Here is an 18153-nt window from a genome sequence, read left to right on the forward strand (position 1 = left end):
TCATTTTTAGTTAGGCCTTATAAACAAACTATAACCTAGGTAAAATATTTGGTTTGTTGAAAAGAACAATGGCTTTGCATCTAGGAGTATCAAGTTTAAAGCCTGGTTTTGCTACTTAGCAGTCATCTCTGTTAAGTCACTTAACCTTTCTTATGTTTACATTTCCTCATTTGTAAATGTGGATGATGAAAACTACTCTGCAAATACTTTAAACATTTATAATAATATATGTAAACATTGACATAGGGTCTTTGAAAACACTGAAAAATACTGTTATTATATATGTGTTTATAATATCTGAGGTTGCTTATGCATTCTTCAGTTTACACCACTCTTGATAGGTTCGGCATCTTTATACATGGAATGCCAGAGCTAAAAAAGACCTTAGAAATTATCGAGTTGCCACTAACGCCCTAATTTTTCAGTTGGGGAAACTGTCTGTGTCACGTTAGAGCTATTGAAGGCCACTTATAGTGAATTAATGCTACAGCTAGTAGTAGTAGTAGAACTCAAATCCCTGACTCTAATTCCTCCACTCTTTCTACCAGACTGCCAGTACATTTTTCTAGTTTTCCTATAGAAAAAAAAAAAAATCAGGTGATTAAGTTTTTCCCCTCATAGCCTCCACTCTTTCTACCTAGTAGAATTATGTTCAGGTCACCCAGCAGGACAGTTGGATATTAGCTAGAAGATAGTTTTGTGGTTGTTTCATTGTTTTGTGTGTTGTGGTCAGTTGAAGCTCAAAGATTACATTTTGTGATGATTTTCCTATTTTTACTTTTTCTTAAAATATTAATTTGGAAGAATTTAAACATGACGAAGATTAGTATGCCCTCTAGCTTTCTACTGAAAAATTTTTAAGTATTAGTGATCAATTTTCTAAAATTTCATTTTGACTGAAAATCATGAGAAAATCATGTTGAAAATCTTTTCAACATCTTTAGTGTGGCTCATCTGAAGATAATACTTTATTACTGTGTGTTTGATTTCATAAAGTTAAACCTGCAATGAAAATACAGTTTGAATGTCCTTTTACTAGAGGAGTCACATTATGTGTTGAGTATTACAAAATGGCTTTTGTTAGAACCCTATTTCTATTCCCAAAGACCTTGTAATTCTGATACGGGATTGTAAGGCTTCCCATCTGTTTGCTAACTCATTTTAACACTTAAAATATCTCAGTATGAGAGAATATCAGTGCATATGAACCTTTTTTTAAGGAGATATATCACAAATTAGATAATCGTTTCCCATTTATAAAGACAGATGCTCTGAGAGGTTGATTGTAGCTGTCCTTCTATATCTACCTGTGTGATCATAAAGAGAAGAATTGTGTAAGTGTCTAAAACCAGATGGGTTAATGTCTAAAACCAGATGGGTTAATGTCTAACACCAGATGGGTTAAAGAATGTAAACTGAGCCTTACCAGTTTAAATGGGTGACTGTTCTAGCTTAATTCTCCCTATATAGTAAATGAGTAAAGGAAATATACTTCATTAAAAAACAAATCTAAGTTTATTAGAGAAATAAAAGCTGAAGAAATTAATATTACCACATTCAAAACATGAGGATAACACCATATTGGGATTCAGAGAAAATTCAAGTCTACCGTTAATAGTTTGGATCATATTTTCTACATTAACCTTAATTTTGCTAACATCCTCTGTCTCCAACATATTGTTGAAGAAACACCAGTTGCCTATTAAGAGAGTACAATGTCAATATATAGTTTGCTTACTTCCTAATAGTATCACTGATAGGATTGAAAACTAGATCGATGATAACTATTAACATTAATAACATGGCAGAACTGTAAATCATTACAACCAAAAGAGATTGGCATGAGAACAAATGTAAAAAGAGCTTGAACAAATGAAATTCTAACAGGTTTTTTTAATGCTTTAATTTTAGCTTCTGAACTGATGACAATTACATTCACCTGAGAAAATGTATAATAGCTCGTTGAACCAACCATTTTTAAGAGATCTCTGCCAGCAAATAATGTATTAATCTCATTTAATTCTCACATACTCTGTGATAAGCACTATTCTACTTTACAAATAAAGGAACAGACTCAAAGAGCTCAAATGACTTACTCAATTTTGTGCATGTAGGATTTGAGCAAAGTCTAATGAACCCTGAAACCCAAAGAGTAAAAGTTTGAATTATGTGAAGAAAATAACTGTGTGATAGTAAGATGGCAGGTAGTTTAATTAACTTTTAAGTGATAACTTTTTAAAATTCCCCCAAATTTCAGCAAATTGTCTTGCTATCTTGCACATTATTTTTGCTTTCTTTTCTTTCATAGCTAAGCTTCTAGGTTCTAGAACATGTCCTGTCTAGTGTTGTTTTCACTTCCTCACCACCAGTTTACTCCTCTTATTGCCAACCGTCTTTTGCTTCTGCCATGACTTGAAACTGCTTCATCTGCAGATGAACAGTGATCATTAATTGCTGGATTCTACCAGCTCTTTTCAATTCTTATTCTTGCCTAACTTGACCTAAGTAGTACTTAACTCTTGAGATCCAACTTCCTCTGGCTTCACCAGACTGTGGATGCCAATTGGTCAAATTCATAAGAATAATCTGTATTTTATTTTTATACATTTTATACAGGATTTCTTCTTCCTTATTCTGATTACACCAAAGCTATTTCTTTGGTGGAATAGCTTCTCCCTGACTTAATTGACTTTGGGAGTTGAGTTTACCCAGTCAGACAATCACAGTGATTGGTCTAAGAAGTGGCCAATCTGAGTGAATTGGTGTTTTCTTTGAGATTTTTAAATAATGAAGCAAAAAGACAAGCACTTCATTTTTCCTCCAGCCCACTAAGCTGGAAAAAAATTCTAGGTCTGCCAGCAGTCATCTGTCACCACTCCCTCCAAATAGAAGTCTCTCTTTATCTCTCTCTCTCTCTCTCTCTCTGTGGGCGTGTGTATAAAGAAAGCCATTTGCAGATCAACAGAATGAAGCCAACACATAGAGAAAGCTGAAACTAGAATTGTAGAGAGAGTAAAAAATGTGCTCTGGACAGAGTATTTGTCCCTGAATCCTTTTCTGTCCATCCCAGTTTTGTCAGTGACAAAGCCCATATTTGCTTAAACTGGCTGCAGTTATGTTTCTTTATTTGCATTTTGAAGAGATTTGACTCACCTACCTACTACTCACTGCTACTGGTGTCCTTCTTAGGCCCTTGATATCTGTAGGAAGGTGATAGTCCCAAATATCCCAGAACACTGGAACTGCTAAAAATGATGGCTCACAGCTATGCTGTGATGTGTGAAGGAGTAGGAGAATCCTCTTGGCTCTTTCTTACTCTCTTATCTGGACACGAAAAGAAACAACTGAGTTCTCCTGTTTCAGAGTTCCTAATGAAGAAAACTTTGGCTTCTGTAGCTGCCTGTCTCTTGATAGGATTCATTTGTGAAGAAAGGCCTCTTTGGCCAAAGCCCTTGGATAAACCTTCTCATATACCTCCTACCAGACTCCTCAGAGAGTCCTGCATACATTTGAGTCCCAGCCCTGCTACACAAAATTTATTCTTTTCTCCTTCTTTGAGCAATCCTCCTTCGGTTTATGTGGCACATTACTTGGTTTTATCTCTTTCTTCTCTGGGTTCTTCTTCCTAGGGAACTATAGTCTGTTCTTTCATTGCTTTCCTTTAAAGGCTATTGTCCCAGGGCTCTATGTTTTTAATCCATTTTTATTTCCACTTGGCCTCCTAGCCTGGCAAACTCATTCTGCTCTATGTTATTAGATACTTCCTATAAACAAATATCTTATACATTTTTATCTACAACTCAGATCTCTGTCCTGAGCTCCAGACCCTCAAATTTACCTACTTGCTGTACATCACCTCCTGAGTATTCTATGAGTACCTTGATTCCACCCTCATTAAAAGTGAGATCATCTTCACCTTCTTTCCATCAAATTCCCCCTCCCAGCAGTAGACCATACAGTTCATTCAAAACAAAACAAGACTTGAGGGACACATTCTGGATTTTCTTCTCCCTTCAGATTCATAGTCTATGTTTCTTGAAAATGCATCTTTTTCCTGAATATTCTTCAGCATATTAAGAAAAGCTGGTGGTGTGGGAAGTAAGGGATCACAGATGTCTTTCACATATATTTTCAAATCCCATTTTCTAGATTAATTTTCTTTTTAGCAAGGAAGCGTTTACATTTGGATCTTTAATTTCTCTCAGTTTTTGCTATAATATATAACCTTCCACTTGTTATATGAGAACACTATAATTTTAAGAGGTATCTTGCAGATTCTATCATTTTATTTATAACCTTCCACTTGTTATATGAGAACACTATAATTTTAAGAGGTATCTTGCAGATTCTATCATTTTATTTTGCTTTTACTCTTTTTTTTCTTAAGATTCTGGAAACATTTTCCCAATGCTTTTCCTAACTGCTTACACAACCACTTAATATATGGCTTTCCATGTCTTAAAAATAAGTACTCTTCTGACCAAACTGACCTTCCACCATGCATGGAGGACATGGGTGTGAACCTGAGGCCCAACCCAACTGTATAAGGTTTAGTGCATGTTATAGTCCTTTTCCCATCCTCCTACTTCCCCTTGCCATATTTATAATACAAAAATTGGGCAAAAATACATAGCTTATTATTTAACTTTGTTTTTTAAAGTCTTTTTTTCTACGCACACACACACAGAGAAATGAAATAGGAATAATGTTAATATAAGAAATTCCAGAGGGTCAAGGAAAGGGTTAGGAGAAATAAAAAATGTTATTTTACTTTGCAATACTTAATTTCATCATTTTGGGTTATGAGGCATGGTGTTGTGGTCTATGAACATGGGACAGAGAATAAGGAAAGTTTCTTAACCAATGCTGGCTTTGAAAATGAACTCTGTGGGTGGCCATGGACAAATTACCTGATATCTTCATTTCACTTACTTTATGACTTCTAGTCTACTTGGAGATCATTAATTTGATTGACAGTGCAGCTATAAATAATACACCAAGAGTTAGTTGGAAATCTAAGAAATGCTGAGCTTTTTAGAATCGTAATATATTTAATTTGTTATTGACAGGTCACCTCAAATACCACAAAATGAATGGGAAGATGAACACTATGCAAGTACTCATTAAAAACATCCCAAAATGCTGGAGGAAATGCCGTGGAATTAAGGAATGACTCTTTTGTGGTAGAAAATTTTTATTTCAGAGTATAGACACTGCTTGTGCTGGGTCTCTTAATTTTACTGGATATTATAATTTTCTTGGACTGTTAGATTTTCTCAGTGCAACATTTCTGAGAGCAAATATGTTCTGCTCAATTAAATACTTTCTAAAGCTAGATAAATGCCTTCCAGTAAGCACATTAACATTCAATATGTTATATTTTACCAGAGGTAAAACATTTATATTCTAAAACATTATATTCTAAATTTTTTTACCCCAGGGAAAATAAAATGCCAAAAATCTCAACTACCACACATAGCTTTGTAATAAGATCAATGGGCAAATGGAATCAGCTTCAGTTTGCACTAATCCTACATATATGTATTAAGGATATGTGTAATGAACTTTGGCCATAATAAATTATAACTAATTTATTTCATCAGTTCACTACTATATTTCTTTCTTGTTTGCTTCTCCTCTTGTCGTCTCTTCATATTTGGTAGAATATATTTTATTGAATATCTAGTTTCAGATTACCTGAGCTTCAGATTACATGGAATTTTGGACTGTTGAATACTTTTGATTGTGTAGTGGATATAACTAAGCAATTTTTTTTTTGGGGTGCATACTTAGAATGTAATTTCTGGATCTTTTGATAGGCATATTGTTTTAGTTTGTTTTCTGCTTCTATAACATAATACTGTAGACTGGGTAATGTATAAAGAAAAGAGATTTATTTCCCTCAGAGTTCTGGAGATTGTCCAAGATCAAGGGGCTGCATCTAGTGAAATCCTTCTTGCTGTGTCCTATATGGTGGAAAGCATCACATGGCAAGGAAGCATGCTTGTGACAGAGAGAATGAGAGCTGAACTTCATCTTTTTATCAGCAACCCCCTCCAGCAATAATTAACCCAATCCCACAATAATGGCCTTAATGTATTCATGTGGGCAGAGTCCTTATAACTCAATCACCTCTTGAAGGTCCCACTCTTAATGCTGTCGCAGTAGCAATTACATTTCAACATGAGTTTTGGAAGGGATATTTAAACCATAGCATACATGTTTGCTATAAAAACGCCAGTTTTCCAAGTGAATGTACCCATTTTAAACACCCACCAGAATCATTTGTGAGATCTAATTGTTCATTCAATCTTACTATACTTGGTATAGTCAATTATTTTAATTTTAGCACCATAATGAATATGTAGTGATATTAAATTTGGTATTACTTTGCATTAATGACTAAAAATTAGATAACAAATGATATTGAACTTATTTCCACATGCTTATTGATCATTTGGATATATTACTTTGTGAAGTTCATTTTTGAAGCCTTTTGCCCATTTTTCTTTGTGTTGTATTTATTTTCCATACTCATCAAAAACATCCCAAAATGCTAGAGGAAATGCTCTAGAATTCAGGAATAACTTCTTTTGTGGTAGAGAATTTTTATTTCAGAGTATAGACACTGTTTGTGCTGGGTTTCTTAATTTTACTGGATATCATCATTTTCTTGGGCTGTTTGATCAAGTTTGATTTTCCCAGTGCAACATTTCTGAGAGTAAATATGGTCTGCTTAATAAAATATGTTCTAAAGCCAGATAAGTGCTTTCCAGCAAGTACAATTTTCCTTCCAGCAAGTATAATACCTGGTTTATAAGCATTACATATATTAATATTATTATTTTGTCAGATAGATATAATAAAAGTTTAATATTTCAATCTTTTATGGTAAGTGCTATTTATATACTGTTTAAGAAAGAGGCACCCATCATGACAATAATGTTCTATATTTTCCTATGAAAGTCTTGTTTTATATTTCACATTTAGGTTTTGATGGTCCTTAAATATAAGATTTTTATACATGATATTATGTATGGATTTAGGTTAATTTATTTTTATATGGATAGCCAATTGACCCAGAACCACTTATCAAAAAGACATCCTTTATACATTGAATTGCAATAGTGTTTTATCAAAACCAGCTAAGTATTTTTGAGTGAGTGTATTTCTGAACTCTCTAATTTGTTTCATTTGTTTACCTTTTGTTGTATTATTTCCTCACCATCTTAATTATTTTTAGCCTTATAAAAGCTTTGATATTTGGTAGTATAAGTTTTCCTGTTTAGTTTTTCTTCTGTAATATTTTCTTGACTATATAAAGTCCTTGCATTTCTATGTACATTTTAGAATAAAACTGTCAATTTGCACAAAATAACAGGCTGGGATTTGGATAGAGATTATGTTGATTTGAGGGAGATTGGCATTTTATCAATATTGTGTCTTTCAGTCAATATACAGAGTATATCTATTTAGTTATTTTGATATTAATTTTTCTCACCAATGTTTTATGGTCCTTAAGGAAAAAGCCTTGCAATGTTTCTATATATGTGATCCTAGGTAGTGGACCCTTTTAGATGTTATTATAAATGATTTTGCTTTTTAATTAAATTTCATTTTTCAGTTATTTCTAGTATAAAGAAATGGAGGTGACTGATTATTGGAAACATTTATTTGTAAATTTTCTTATTTTTAATTTTTTTGTAGATTCTTGTAAATTTTCTGCAGAAAATTTATATTTTTTTCTGGCTTTATTGAACTGCTTTGAAACTCCAGTGAAATGTTGAATAAAAGTGCTGATAATTGATATTATTTCCTTATCCTTGTTCAATTGCATTAAAACTTTACCATTAACTATATATTTTTAGTAGACCTCTTTATCAGATTAGGAAAATACACTCCTGTTCCTAACTTACTGAATTAAACAAATCATGAACAAGTGTAGAATCTTATTAAGAGCTTTTTTATTGAATATACTAAAATCATCAAATGGGTTTTCTCTTTTATTAACAGATGTAAAATTTTACTAAATGCTTTTTTCCACATTCCTTTGAAATATTCATAAAGTTTTTCTATTTTTTCTAATTTGATGAATTACACTGATTGATTTTTAAAATATTAAACCAAACTTCCAATCCTGGCAAAAACTCCAATTAGTTTTATATAAAACCTATGATTTTTAAATACACTACTAGGTGGAATTTGATAATATTTTGGGTAGGATTTTTCCATCTAGATTAATGAAATATATTGGGCTATACTTTTCCAGTCCTACATTGTTATTGTAAGGTTTGGGCATCAGGGTTATGCTGGCCTCGTAAATTAAGAAATTTTTCCCTCTGTTTTCTGTTTTCTGGATAATTTTTTGTTAGAATGTATTTTTTTCTCTTCATTACATGTTTGAAAGAATTTTCCAGAGATGTCATCTAGGTCTAAAGATTTCTTTGTAAGAAAAGCTTAAAATTACATGTTTTTAGTAGATATTGGAGTGTTCATATTTTTTATTTTTGTGAATTATTACTTGTGGTTTTTCAAGTAATTTGTCCTTTTTTTCCAAATTACCAGCATCAAAGTGTTAGTAATGTCCTTTATTTTCTTCTAAATTCTGTAGGACCTGTAGTTATATATAATGTTAATATATTAATATATCACAATAATATTTTTAAAGTTTTTGCTTTTGTTATTTTTTTTGTGTGCCTATTTTCTAGTGAATTGACTTTTGGGGCTATATTGATTATCTGTTTTTCATCTACTTTCTTTGTACTTGCTCTTCTGCCACTAGCTTTTTGAAATGAAAGATTAGATCAATAATTATCAATATTCTTTCTTGCCCAAAATATTTACTTCAATTCTTATTACATCTTCTTGCTTGTAACTGGGACCCTTTTCTTTTTAGCTGAAAGACCTAGTTTTTATTTCCTTAGCACAGGTCTGTGGTGAAGAATTTTCTCAGCCATTGTTTTCAAAGATATCTTTATTGTACCTTCATTTAAAAACAATTTTTAGGGGAGAAGATGGAGCAAGATGGCTAAATAGAAGTCTCTGCTGGTCGTCCCCTCCACAGGAACACCAAATTGAACAACTATTTAAATAAAAAAGCACCTTCATGAGAACCGAAAATCAGCTTAGGTACCAATTTGGCCACAATGGGTTAGAACACTATTCCATTGTGTTCTTACCCACCATGGCCAAAATTGGGCCTAAGGGGTCCCAATTCCCGGCCTCAGCTCTTGGATGGAATTTCTAGACCTGCCCTGGGCCAGCGGAGAGCCCACTGCCTTAAAAGGAGAGTACCAGCCTGGCAGCATTCACCACAAGCTGACTGGAGTGTCCTTGGGCCTTAGGTGAACATCAGCAGTAACCAGAAAGTACTTGCTGCAAGCCTGGGCTGGTGGTGGCCAAGGGGAGAGACTCTTCTATTTGTGGAAGAAATAGGCAAGAGTGGGAAAGACTTTCTCTTGTGGCTTGGGTGCCAGATCAGCTGCAATAGAATAGAGCACCAGGTAGATTCCTAAGGTTTCTGAGTTCAGGCCCTGGATCCCAGCTGGCATCTCTGGACCCACCCAGGGCTGGGGGAGCTCACTGCCCTGAGGGAAAGGACAAATGCCTGGCTGGCTTTACCATCTGCTGATTGTAGAGCTCTAGGGCCTTGAGTACACACAGATGGTAACTAGGCAGTGGTTACCATGAGCTTTGGGTGAGACCCAGTGCTGTGCTGGCTTCAGATCTGACCCATTGCAGCCCCAGTGATGGTGGCCACAAAGAGGCTTGTGTCACCCCCTCCCCCAGCACCAGGTAGCTCAGCACAGAGAGAGAGAGAGAGACTCTGTTTGAGAGAAAGCGAGGGAAGAAAACAAGAGTCTCTGCTTGGGAATCCAGAGAATTCTTTTGGATTTTAACCAAGACTACCAAGGTAGTACCTCTACAAGTCTGCAAGAGCCACAGGAAAAGCCCTGCCTAATGCAGATATGGCTGCAGTGACCAAAAACTTAGATAACAACACCCAACACTCTTTGAATGCTTGGAAACCTTTCCCAAGAAGGATAGATGCAAAGAAGCCCAAACTGTGAAGAGTACAATAAATACCTAAGTCTTCAATGCCCAGTCACCAATAAACATCCACAAGCATAGAGATCATCCAGGAAAACATGAACTCACCAAATGAACCAAATAAGGCACCAAGGAGAAATCCTGGAGAAACAGCAATATGAGGACTTTTCAGACAGAAAATTCAAAATAGCTGTTTTGAGAAAACTCAAAGAAATTTGGGTAACACAGAGAAGCAATTCAGAATCTTATCAGATAAGTTTAACAAAGAGATTGAAATAATTAAAAATAAGTAAGCAGAAATTGTGGAGTTGAAAAATGCCATAGACATACTGAAGAAATCATCAGAGTATCTAATAGCAGAATTGATCCAGCAGAAGAAAGAATGAGTGAGCCTGAAGACAGACTACATGAAAATGCACAGAGGATCCAAAAGAAAAAATAATAAAAAAAATGAAGCATGCCTACAGGATCTAGAAAACAGCCTGTAAAAGGCGAATCTAAGAGTTACTGGCCTTAATAGGGCAGATAGAAATAGTGGTAGGGATAGAAAATTTATTCAAAGGAATAATAACAGAGAAACCTAAACAAAGATACCAATATTCAAGGAAATCAATCATGCCCCTATTTCCCCTACCCCCAGCCTCTGTAACTACCATTTTCTACTCTCTTCTATGAGTTTAGTTATTTTAAATTCCACATGTAATTGAAGTTATGGAGCATGAAGCAGATTTAGCCCAAATAAGAAAACTTCAAGATATTTAATAAACTCCAATGGTCAAAGATAAGGAAAGTATCATAAAAGCAACAAGAGAAAATAAACAAATAACATACAATGGAGGTCTAGTATGTGTGGCAGCAGACTTTTCAATGAAAACCTTACAGGCCAGGAGACAATGGCATGACATATTTAAAGTGCTTAAGGAAAAAAATAAACTTTATTCTGGAATAGTATAACTAGCGAAAATATCCTTAAAACATGAAGGAGAAATAAAGAATTTCTCAGACAAAAGATATCATCTCACTTCAGTTAAAATGGCTTATATCTGAAAGACAGGCAGTAATAAATACAGGTAAGGATGTGGAGAAAAGGAAACCCTTGTATACTGTTGGCGAGAGTGTAAATTAGTACAACCTCTATGGAGAACAGTTTAGAAGTGCCTCCAAAAACCAAAAATACAGCTATCATATGATCCATCAGTCCCACTACTGGGTATATACTCAAAAGGAAGGAAATCCATATATCAAAAAGATATTTGCACTTTCATGTTTATTGCAACATTATTCATAATAGCAAAGATTGGGAGCAACCTAAATGTCCACCAACTAATGAATAGATAAAGAAAATGTGGCAGATATACACAATGGGGTACTATTCAGCCACAAAAAAGAATTATATCCTGTCATTTGCAACAACATGGATGGGACTGGATGTCAGTATGTCAAGTGAAATGAGCCAGACACAGAAAGACAAACTTCACATGTTCTTACTTATTTGTGGGAGCTTAAAATTAAAACAAGTGAATTCATGGAGATGGAAGTCTGGTTGAAAGTATGGTTATCAGAGGCTGGGAAGGGTAGTTCAAAGGTGAGGGGTGGGGGAATGTGGGAATGGTTAATGGGCATGAAAATATAGTTAGATGCAATGGATAAGATCTATTGTTTAATAGCACAACAAAATGACTACAGTCAACAATAATTTACTGTATATCTGAAAACAACTCAAAAAGTATAATTGGATTTTTTTTGTAACACAAAGAAACAAAAAATGCTTGAGGTAATGGGTACCTCATATACCCTGATGTGATTATTATGCATTATATGCCTGTATCAGAATATATCATGTACCCCATAAATTTATATACCAACTGGGTACCCACAAAAATAAAAAAATAAAAAATATAATTTTTGTTTTATTGTAAATCGTTATTTTATTATTGTATATGTTTATGGGGTACAAAATGTTTTTATGATTTATGAGTTTATATTATGTTTTATGAATACAATGTAAAACAATTACATCAAGATAATTAACATTTCTACTACCTCAAATACTTATCATTTTTCATTGTTAGAATATTCAGTGTACTCTCTTTAACGATTGTGAAATGTACCATATATGAATATAGTATTATTAATTATATTAAGCATGCTGTGCAGTACCTCTCATAATAAAGTTTATTCTTTCTGTTTAACTGAAACTTTGTATTCATTGACCATCATCTTCCTATTTCCCTTAGTCTCAGCCTCTGGAACTACCATTCTATACTGTCTTCTATGAGTTTTATTATTTTAAATTTCTCATATAATTGAGAATCTTTTTTGCCATTTTCTATGGAAAATTTAATTCTGGCTCTTTGGCATGGATACATTAACAGATTCTTCAATTAAGCATGAATATAGAACATTTAACATTACAATCAATGAATTATAGAAGGCTACTCCTACAGGAAAACCTTTTTTTAAGATTTTTTTTTCTTTTTAAAAATTATACTTTAAGTTCTGGGATACATGTGCAAAACGTGCAGGTTTTTTACATAGGTATACACGTGCCATGGTGGCACCCATCAACCTGCCATCGTATTTCTCCTAATGTAGGATTTCTCCTAATGCATCTACATTTGCTGCACCCATCAACCTGCCGTCTACCTTAGGTATTTCTCCTAATGCTGTCCCTCCCCTAGGCCCCACCCCAAAACAGGCCCCAGTGTGTGTTGTTCCCCTCCCTGTGTCCATGGTATTTGTCTTTCTGTGCCTGTCTCATTTCACTTAACATAGTGTTTTCCGATTCCAATCACATTGTTGCAACTGACAGAATTCCCTTCTTTTTGAAGGCTGAATATTATTACATTGTGTATATATAGCATATTTTTCTTTTTTTCTTTTCTTTTTGAGACGGAGTCTTGCTCTGTCGCCCAGGCTGGAGTGCAGTGGCGCTATCTCGGCTCACTGCAAGCTCCGCCTCCTGGGTTCACACCATTCTCCTGCCTTAGCCTCCCAAGTAGCTGGGACTACAGGCGCCCGCCACCACGCCTGGCTAATTTTTGTATTTTTAGTAGAGACGGGGTTTCACCGTGTTAGCCAGGATGGTCTTGATCTCTTGACCTTGTGATCCACCAGCCTCGGCCTCCCAAAGTGCTGGGATTACAGGCGTGAGCCACCGCGCCCGGCCTATATAGCATATTTTTCTTACCCATCCGTCTGTTAATGAATATTTACCATGGTTTCATGACTTGGGTGTTGTGAATAGTGCTTCAATAAATGTAAGAGTGCAGATCTTATTCATTGCATCTAACTGACAGCTGATCCTAAACCTTTCAGGTAAATACCCAGAAGTGGGATTGCTGGGTCATATGGTACTTCTGTTTTCAGTTTTTTGAGGAATCCTTATACAGTTTTCCATAATGGCAATTTACCTTCCTACAAACAGTGTACAAAGGTTCTCTTTTCTCCACATCCTTGCCTACACTTTTTCATATTTTTGATAATAGCTATTCTGACAGGTGTGAGGTGGTAGCTCATTGTGGATTTAATTTGTATTTCCCTGATAATTGGTTATGTTGGAGTTTTTATGTATACTTGTCTGTTTGTATTTGTTCTGAGAAATGTCTGTTTCAGTCTTTTGCCTATTTTTAAAAATTGAGTTGTTTTGTAGCTATTGTGTTAAGTTCTTTATATGTTTTAGATACTAACCCCTTATAGAATGTATGGCCTGCAAGTATTTTCTCCCAATTTGAAGGTTGTCTGTCTCCTTACACTGTTACTTGTTTCCTTGTCTGTGCAGAAGCTTTTAAATTTGATGTAATTGCATGTGTCTATTTTTGCTTTTGTTGCCTGTGTTTTGGGGTCAAATACAAAAATATTATTGCCTAGGCCAATATTGTGTAGTTTTCTCTCTGTTTTCGTCTTGTAGTTTTAGAATTTCTGATCTTAAATTTACATTCTTAATCTATTTTTGGTTGATTTTTGTACATTGTGTGAGATAAGGGTTCAATTTTATTCTTTTACATGTGGATATCCAGTTGTCCCAATGCCATTTATTGAAGAGACTGTTCTTTTCTTTGTATTCTTGATATCTTTGACAAAAATCAATTGAGCTTATGGGTGGGTTTATTTCTGCACTCTTTATTCTGTATATTTCTCAATGTGTCTCAATGTGATACTTCAATGCCAGTATCATGCTGTTTCAATAAAGTCTCAATGTGATACTTTAATGCCAGTATCATGCTGTTTCAATTGCTATAGTTTTGCAGTGTAGTTTGCAATAAGCTAGTGTCATGCCTCCAACTTTGTTCTTTTTGCTCATAATTGCTTTGACTATTAGGGATTTTTTGTGTAATTTTATATGAATTTTAGTATTTTTTATTGATTTGAAAAGTGAGACTGGAAATTTTAGAAGAATTGCATTGAATTTGTAGATTGCATTATATATTATTGCATAGACATTTTCCAGTGGATGAATAGGGGATATCTTTCTATGTATTTGTGTCATCTTCAATTTCTCTCATCAATGTTTTATAATTTTCTAGTATTGTTTCTTTCTCTTAGTCTCAAAAGTGACATTGGAAATTTGAGAAGAATCACATTGAATTTGCAGATTGCATTGTGTAGTATTGTATAGACATTTACAAAATATTAATTCTTCCAATCCATGAATAGGGGATATCTTTCTATTTATTTGTGTCATCTTCAATGTTTCTCATCAATGTTTTATGATTTTCCATGTATAGGTCTTTTACCTCATTGGTTAAATTTATTCCTAAGTATTTTATTATATTGTAGCTATTGTAAATGGGATTGTTCTCTTGTTTTCTTTTTATGATAAATCATTGTTAGTGTATAAAAATGCAATTGATTATTTCATGTTGATTTTGTACCCTGCAACATTTCAAAATTTGTTGAATAGTTCTAACTTTTTTTTTTTTTTGGTGAAGCATTTTGGGTTTTCATTAGAAAACAATATTTTGGGTATATCATTAGAAAACAGTGACAATTTTTGCTTATTTGCATGCTTTTTATTTATTTCTCTTGCCTAATTGCCCTGGCAAAGACTTCCAATGGTATGTTGAATAGAAATGGCAAGAGTGGGCATACTTGTCTTGTTCCAGATCTTGGAGGAAAGGCTTTCAATTTTTCACAATTGAGTATCGTGTTAGCTGTGATCTTCTCATATATAGCCTTTATTGTTTTGAGGTACACAATGACACCTAACTTGTTGAGTTTTTTAAAATCATAAAATGCTGTTAAATTTTGTCAAATGTACATCTAATGGCATGATCACATAGTTTTTGGTCTTAGTTCTATTAATCTATCACTTTCATTTACTTTCATATGCTGAAGCAGCCCTGCATCCCAATAACAAATCCCACTAGATCGTTGTATATGATCCTCGTAATGTGCTGTTGGATTTGGTTTCCTAGTACTTAGTTATGGATTTTTACATGTGTGTTAATTAATAGCATGTAGTTTTTCATTCTTGTAATATTCTTTTTGGTCTCTGATATCAGGGTAATATTCACCTTGAAAAATGTATTTGGAAGTATTCCCTCCCCTTCAATTTTTTGAAGAGTTTGAGAAGGATTGATATCAGTTATTCTTTAAATGTTTGATAAAATTCAACAATAAAGCTATCAGGTCCTGGCTTACTTTGATGGGAGACATTATTACTGATTGAATCTCCTTAATGATTATTGATTTGTTCAGATTTTCTATTTCTTCATGACTCAATCTTGGTAGGTTATATGTGTCTAGAAATTTATCCATTTCTTCTAGGTTATCCAATTTGTTGGCATATAATATTTTATAGTAGTCTCTTATGGTCCTTTGTATTTCCATGGTATCTGTTGTAATGTTTCCTCTTTCATATCTGATTTTAATAATTTGAGTCTTCTCTCTTTTTTTGTTAGTCTAGCTAATGAGTAGCTGATTGTTTATATCTTTTAAAATAACCAACTCGGTTTTGTAGATCTTTTTTTTTTTTTTTTTTTTTTTTTTTTGAGATGGAGTCTTGCTCTTGTTGCCCAGGCTAAAGTGCAGTGGTATGATCTCAGCTCACGGCAACCTCTGCCTCCCGGGTTCAAGCAATTCTCCTGCCTCAGCCTCCTGAGTAGCTGGGATTACAGGTGCCTCCCACCACCTCCAGCTAATTTTTGTATTTTTAGTAGAGATGGGGTTTTACTATGTTGGCCAGGCTGGTCTCAAACTCCTGACCTCGTGGTCCACCTGCCTTGGCCTCTCAAAGTGCTGAGATTATAGGCGTGAGCCACCGAGCCTGGCCTGTTGATCTTTTAATTGTTTTTCTAGTATCTATTTCGTTTTATTTCTGCTATGATCTTTATTATTTCCTTCCTTCTCTTACATTTCGGCTTAATTTATTCTTCCTTTTCTGGTTCCTTTAGGAGTAACAATAAGTTGTTAATTTATTTTTTTTCATTTATTTTAGCTTTCTTCATCATTAAAAAATTGTTAATTTACATGTAATTATTATATATATTTATAGGGTACATAGTGATGTTTCATACATGTAATGTATAGTGAACCATTCAGGATAATTACTATATCATCTCAAACATTTATAATTTCTTTGTGTGGAGAACATTCAATATCCTCCTAGCTATTTGAAATTATATAATGTATTATTATTATTAACTGTAGTTACTCTAAAGTGGTATAGAACACTATAACTTATTTCTCTTATCTAGCTGTAATTTTATATCCTTTAACAAATCTCTCCCTATCTTTCCCTTCGCCTACCCTTCTCAGCCTCTAGTATCCTCTGTTCTACATTTTACTTCTATGGGAGTAGTTTTTGTTTTAGCTTCCACATATGAATGAGAGCATGCAGTGTTTATCTTTATTTTAAGCTTATTTCACTTAACATTATGCTCTTCAATTCCATCCATGTTTCCATAAATGACAGAATTTCTTTCTTTTTTATGGCTGAATAGTATGCCATTGTTTAAATAAAATGCCATATTTTGTTTATCCTCTCATCTGTTGTTGTAACCTAGATTGAGTTCGTTTCTTGACTATTGTGAATAGTGCTGCAATAAACATGGGGGTGCCGGTTTCTCTTTGATATACTGATTTTCTTTCCTTTGGATATATGCCCAGTAGTGGGATTGCTGGATTTTTTTTTTCTGTTGAGATGTTTGAATTTCTTGTATATTCTGGATATTACTCTCCTGTCAGATGGATGTTTTGTGAATATTTTCTTCATTTTGCAGGTTATATTTTCACTCTGTTGATTGTTTCTCTTGCCATACAGAAACGTTTTGGTTTGATATAATCCTATTTACTTATTTTTTTGTTTTGTTGCCTGTTCTTTTGAGGTCTTAGTTATAAAATTTTTTTCCCAGACAAATGTCCTGAAATAATTTCCCTATGTCTTCTTCTACTAGTTGTATCATTTTGGGTATATATTTCATTAGGCCTTAGATCAATTTTTAGTTGATTTTTGTATAGGGTGAAAGGTGGGGGTAAGTTTCATTCTTCTGCATAGGGATATCCAGTTTTCACAGCACCCTTTATTGAAGAGACTTTTTACTTAATGAGTGTTCTTGGAAACTTTGCCAAAAATCAGTTGGCTCTAGATACATGGATTAATAACTGGAATCTCTATTCTGTTCCTATGTATCTGTTTTTATGCCTGGATCATGCTGTTTTGCTTACTATAGCTTTGTAGTATATTTTGAAGTCTGGTAGTGTGATGCTTTTAGGTTTGTTCTTTTTTGCTCAGGATTCCTTTGGCTATTTTGGATCTTTTGTGGTTCCATCAAAATTTTAAGATTTTTTTTTTCTATTTCTGTGAACAATGCTATTGATATTTTGACAGGAATTGTATTAACTCTGTAGATTACTTTGGACAGTGTGGTCATTTTTTAACAATATGACTTCTTCCAATTCATGACCATGAGTTGTTTTTCCATTTATTTGTATCTTCTTCAATTTCTTTTATCAGTGTTTCAAAATTTTCATTGTAGACATATTCTACATCTTCAGTTAAATTTATTCCTTGGTGTTTTATTTTACTTTTTGCTGATATTGTAAATGGGATTGTCTTCTTAATTTCTTTTTCAGCCAGTTTGGTGTGCATATATAGAAAAT

At 33.9% G+C, this 18153-nt stretch overlaps 1 protein-coding gene and 1 non-coding gene across 2 annotated transcripts in view; both read left to right on the forward strand.

The window, feature by feature from the left end:
• Positions 1-7812, forward strand: part of CENPW (centromere protein W) — a 143206-nt gene extending 135394 nt beyond the window's left edge. The window contains exon 4 of the transcript NR_104462.2: positions 5070-7812. The gene's annotated coding sequence lies outside the window, so the exon portion shown is untranslated. The remainder of the gene's footprint in view (positions 1-5069) is intronic.
• Positions 7813-9122: 1310 nt separating this feature from the next.
• MIR588 (microRNA 588) lies at positions 9123-9205 on the forward strand. Its single transcript, NR_030316.1, has one exon. It is a non-coding gene; the product is annotated as a microRNA 588 (primary transcript).
• Positions 9206-18153: the final 8948 nt, after the last annotated feature.

Source organism: Homo sapiens, chromosome 6 (genome assembly GCF_000001405.40).
Source record: "Homo sapiens chromosome 6, GRCh38.p14 Primary Assembly".
Lineage (NCBI taxonomy): Eukaryota > Metazoa > Chordata > Mammalia > Primates > Hominidae > Homo > Homo sapiens.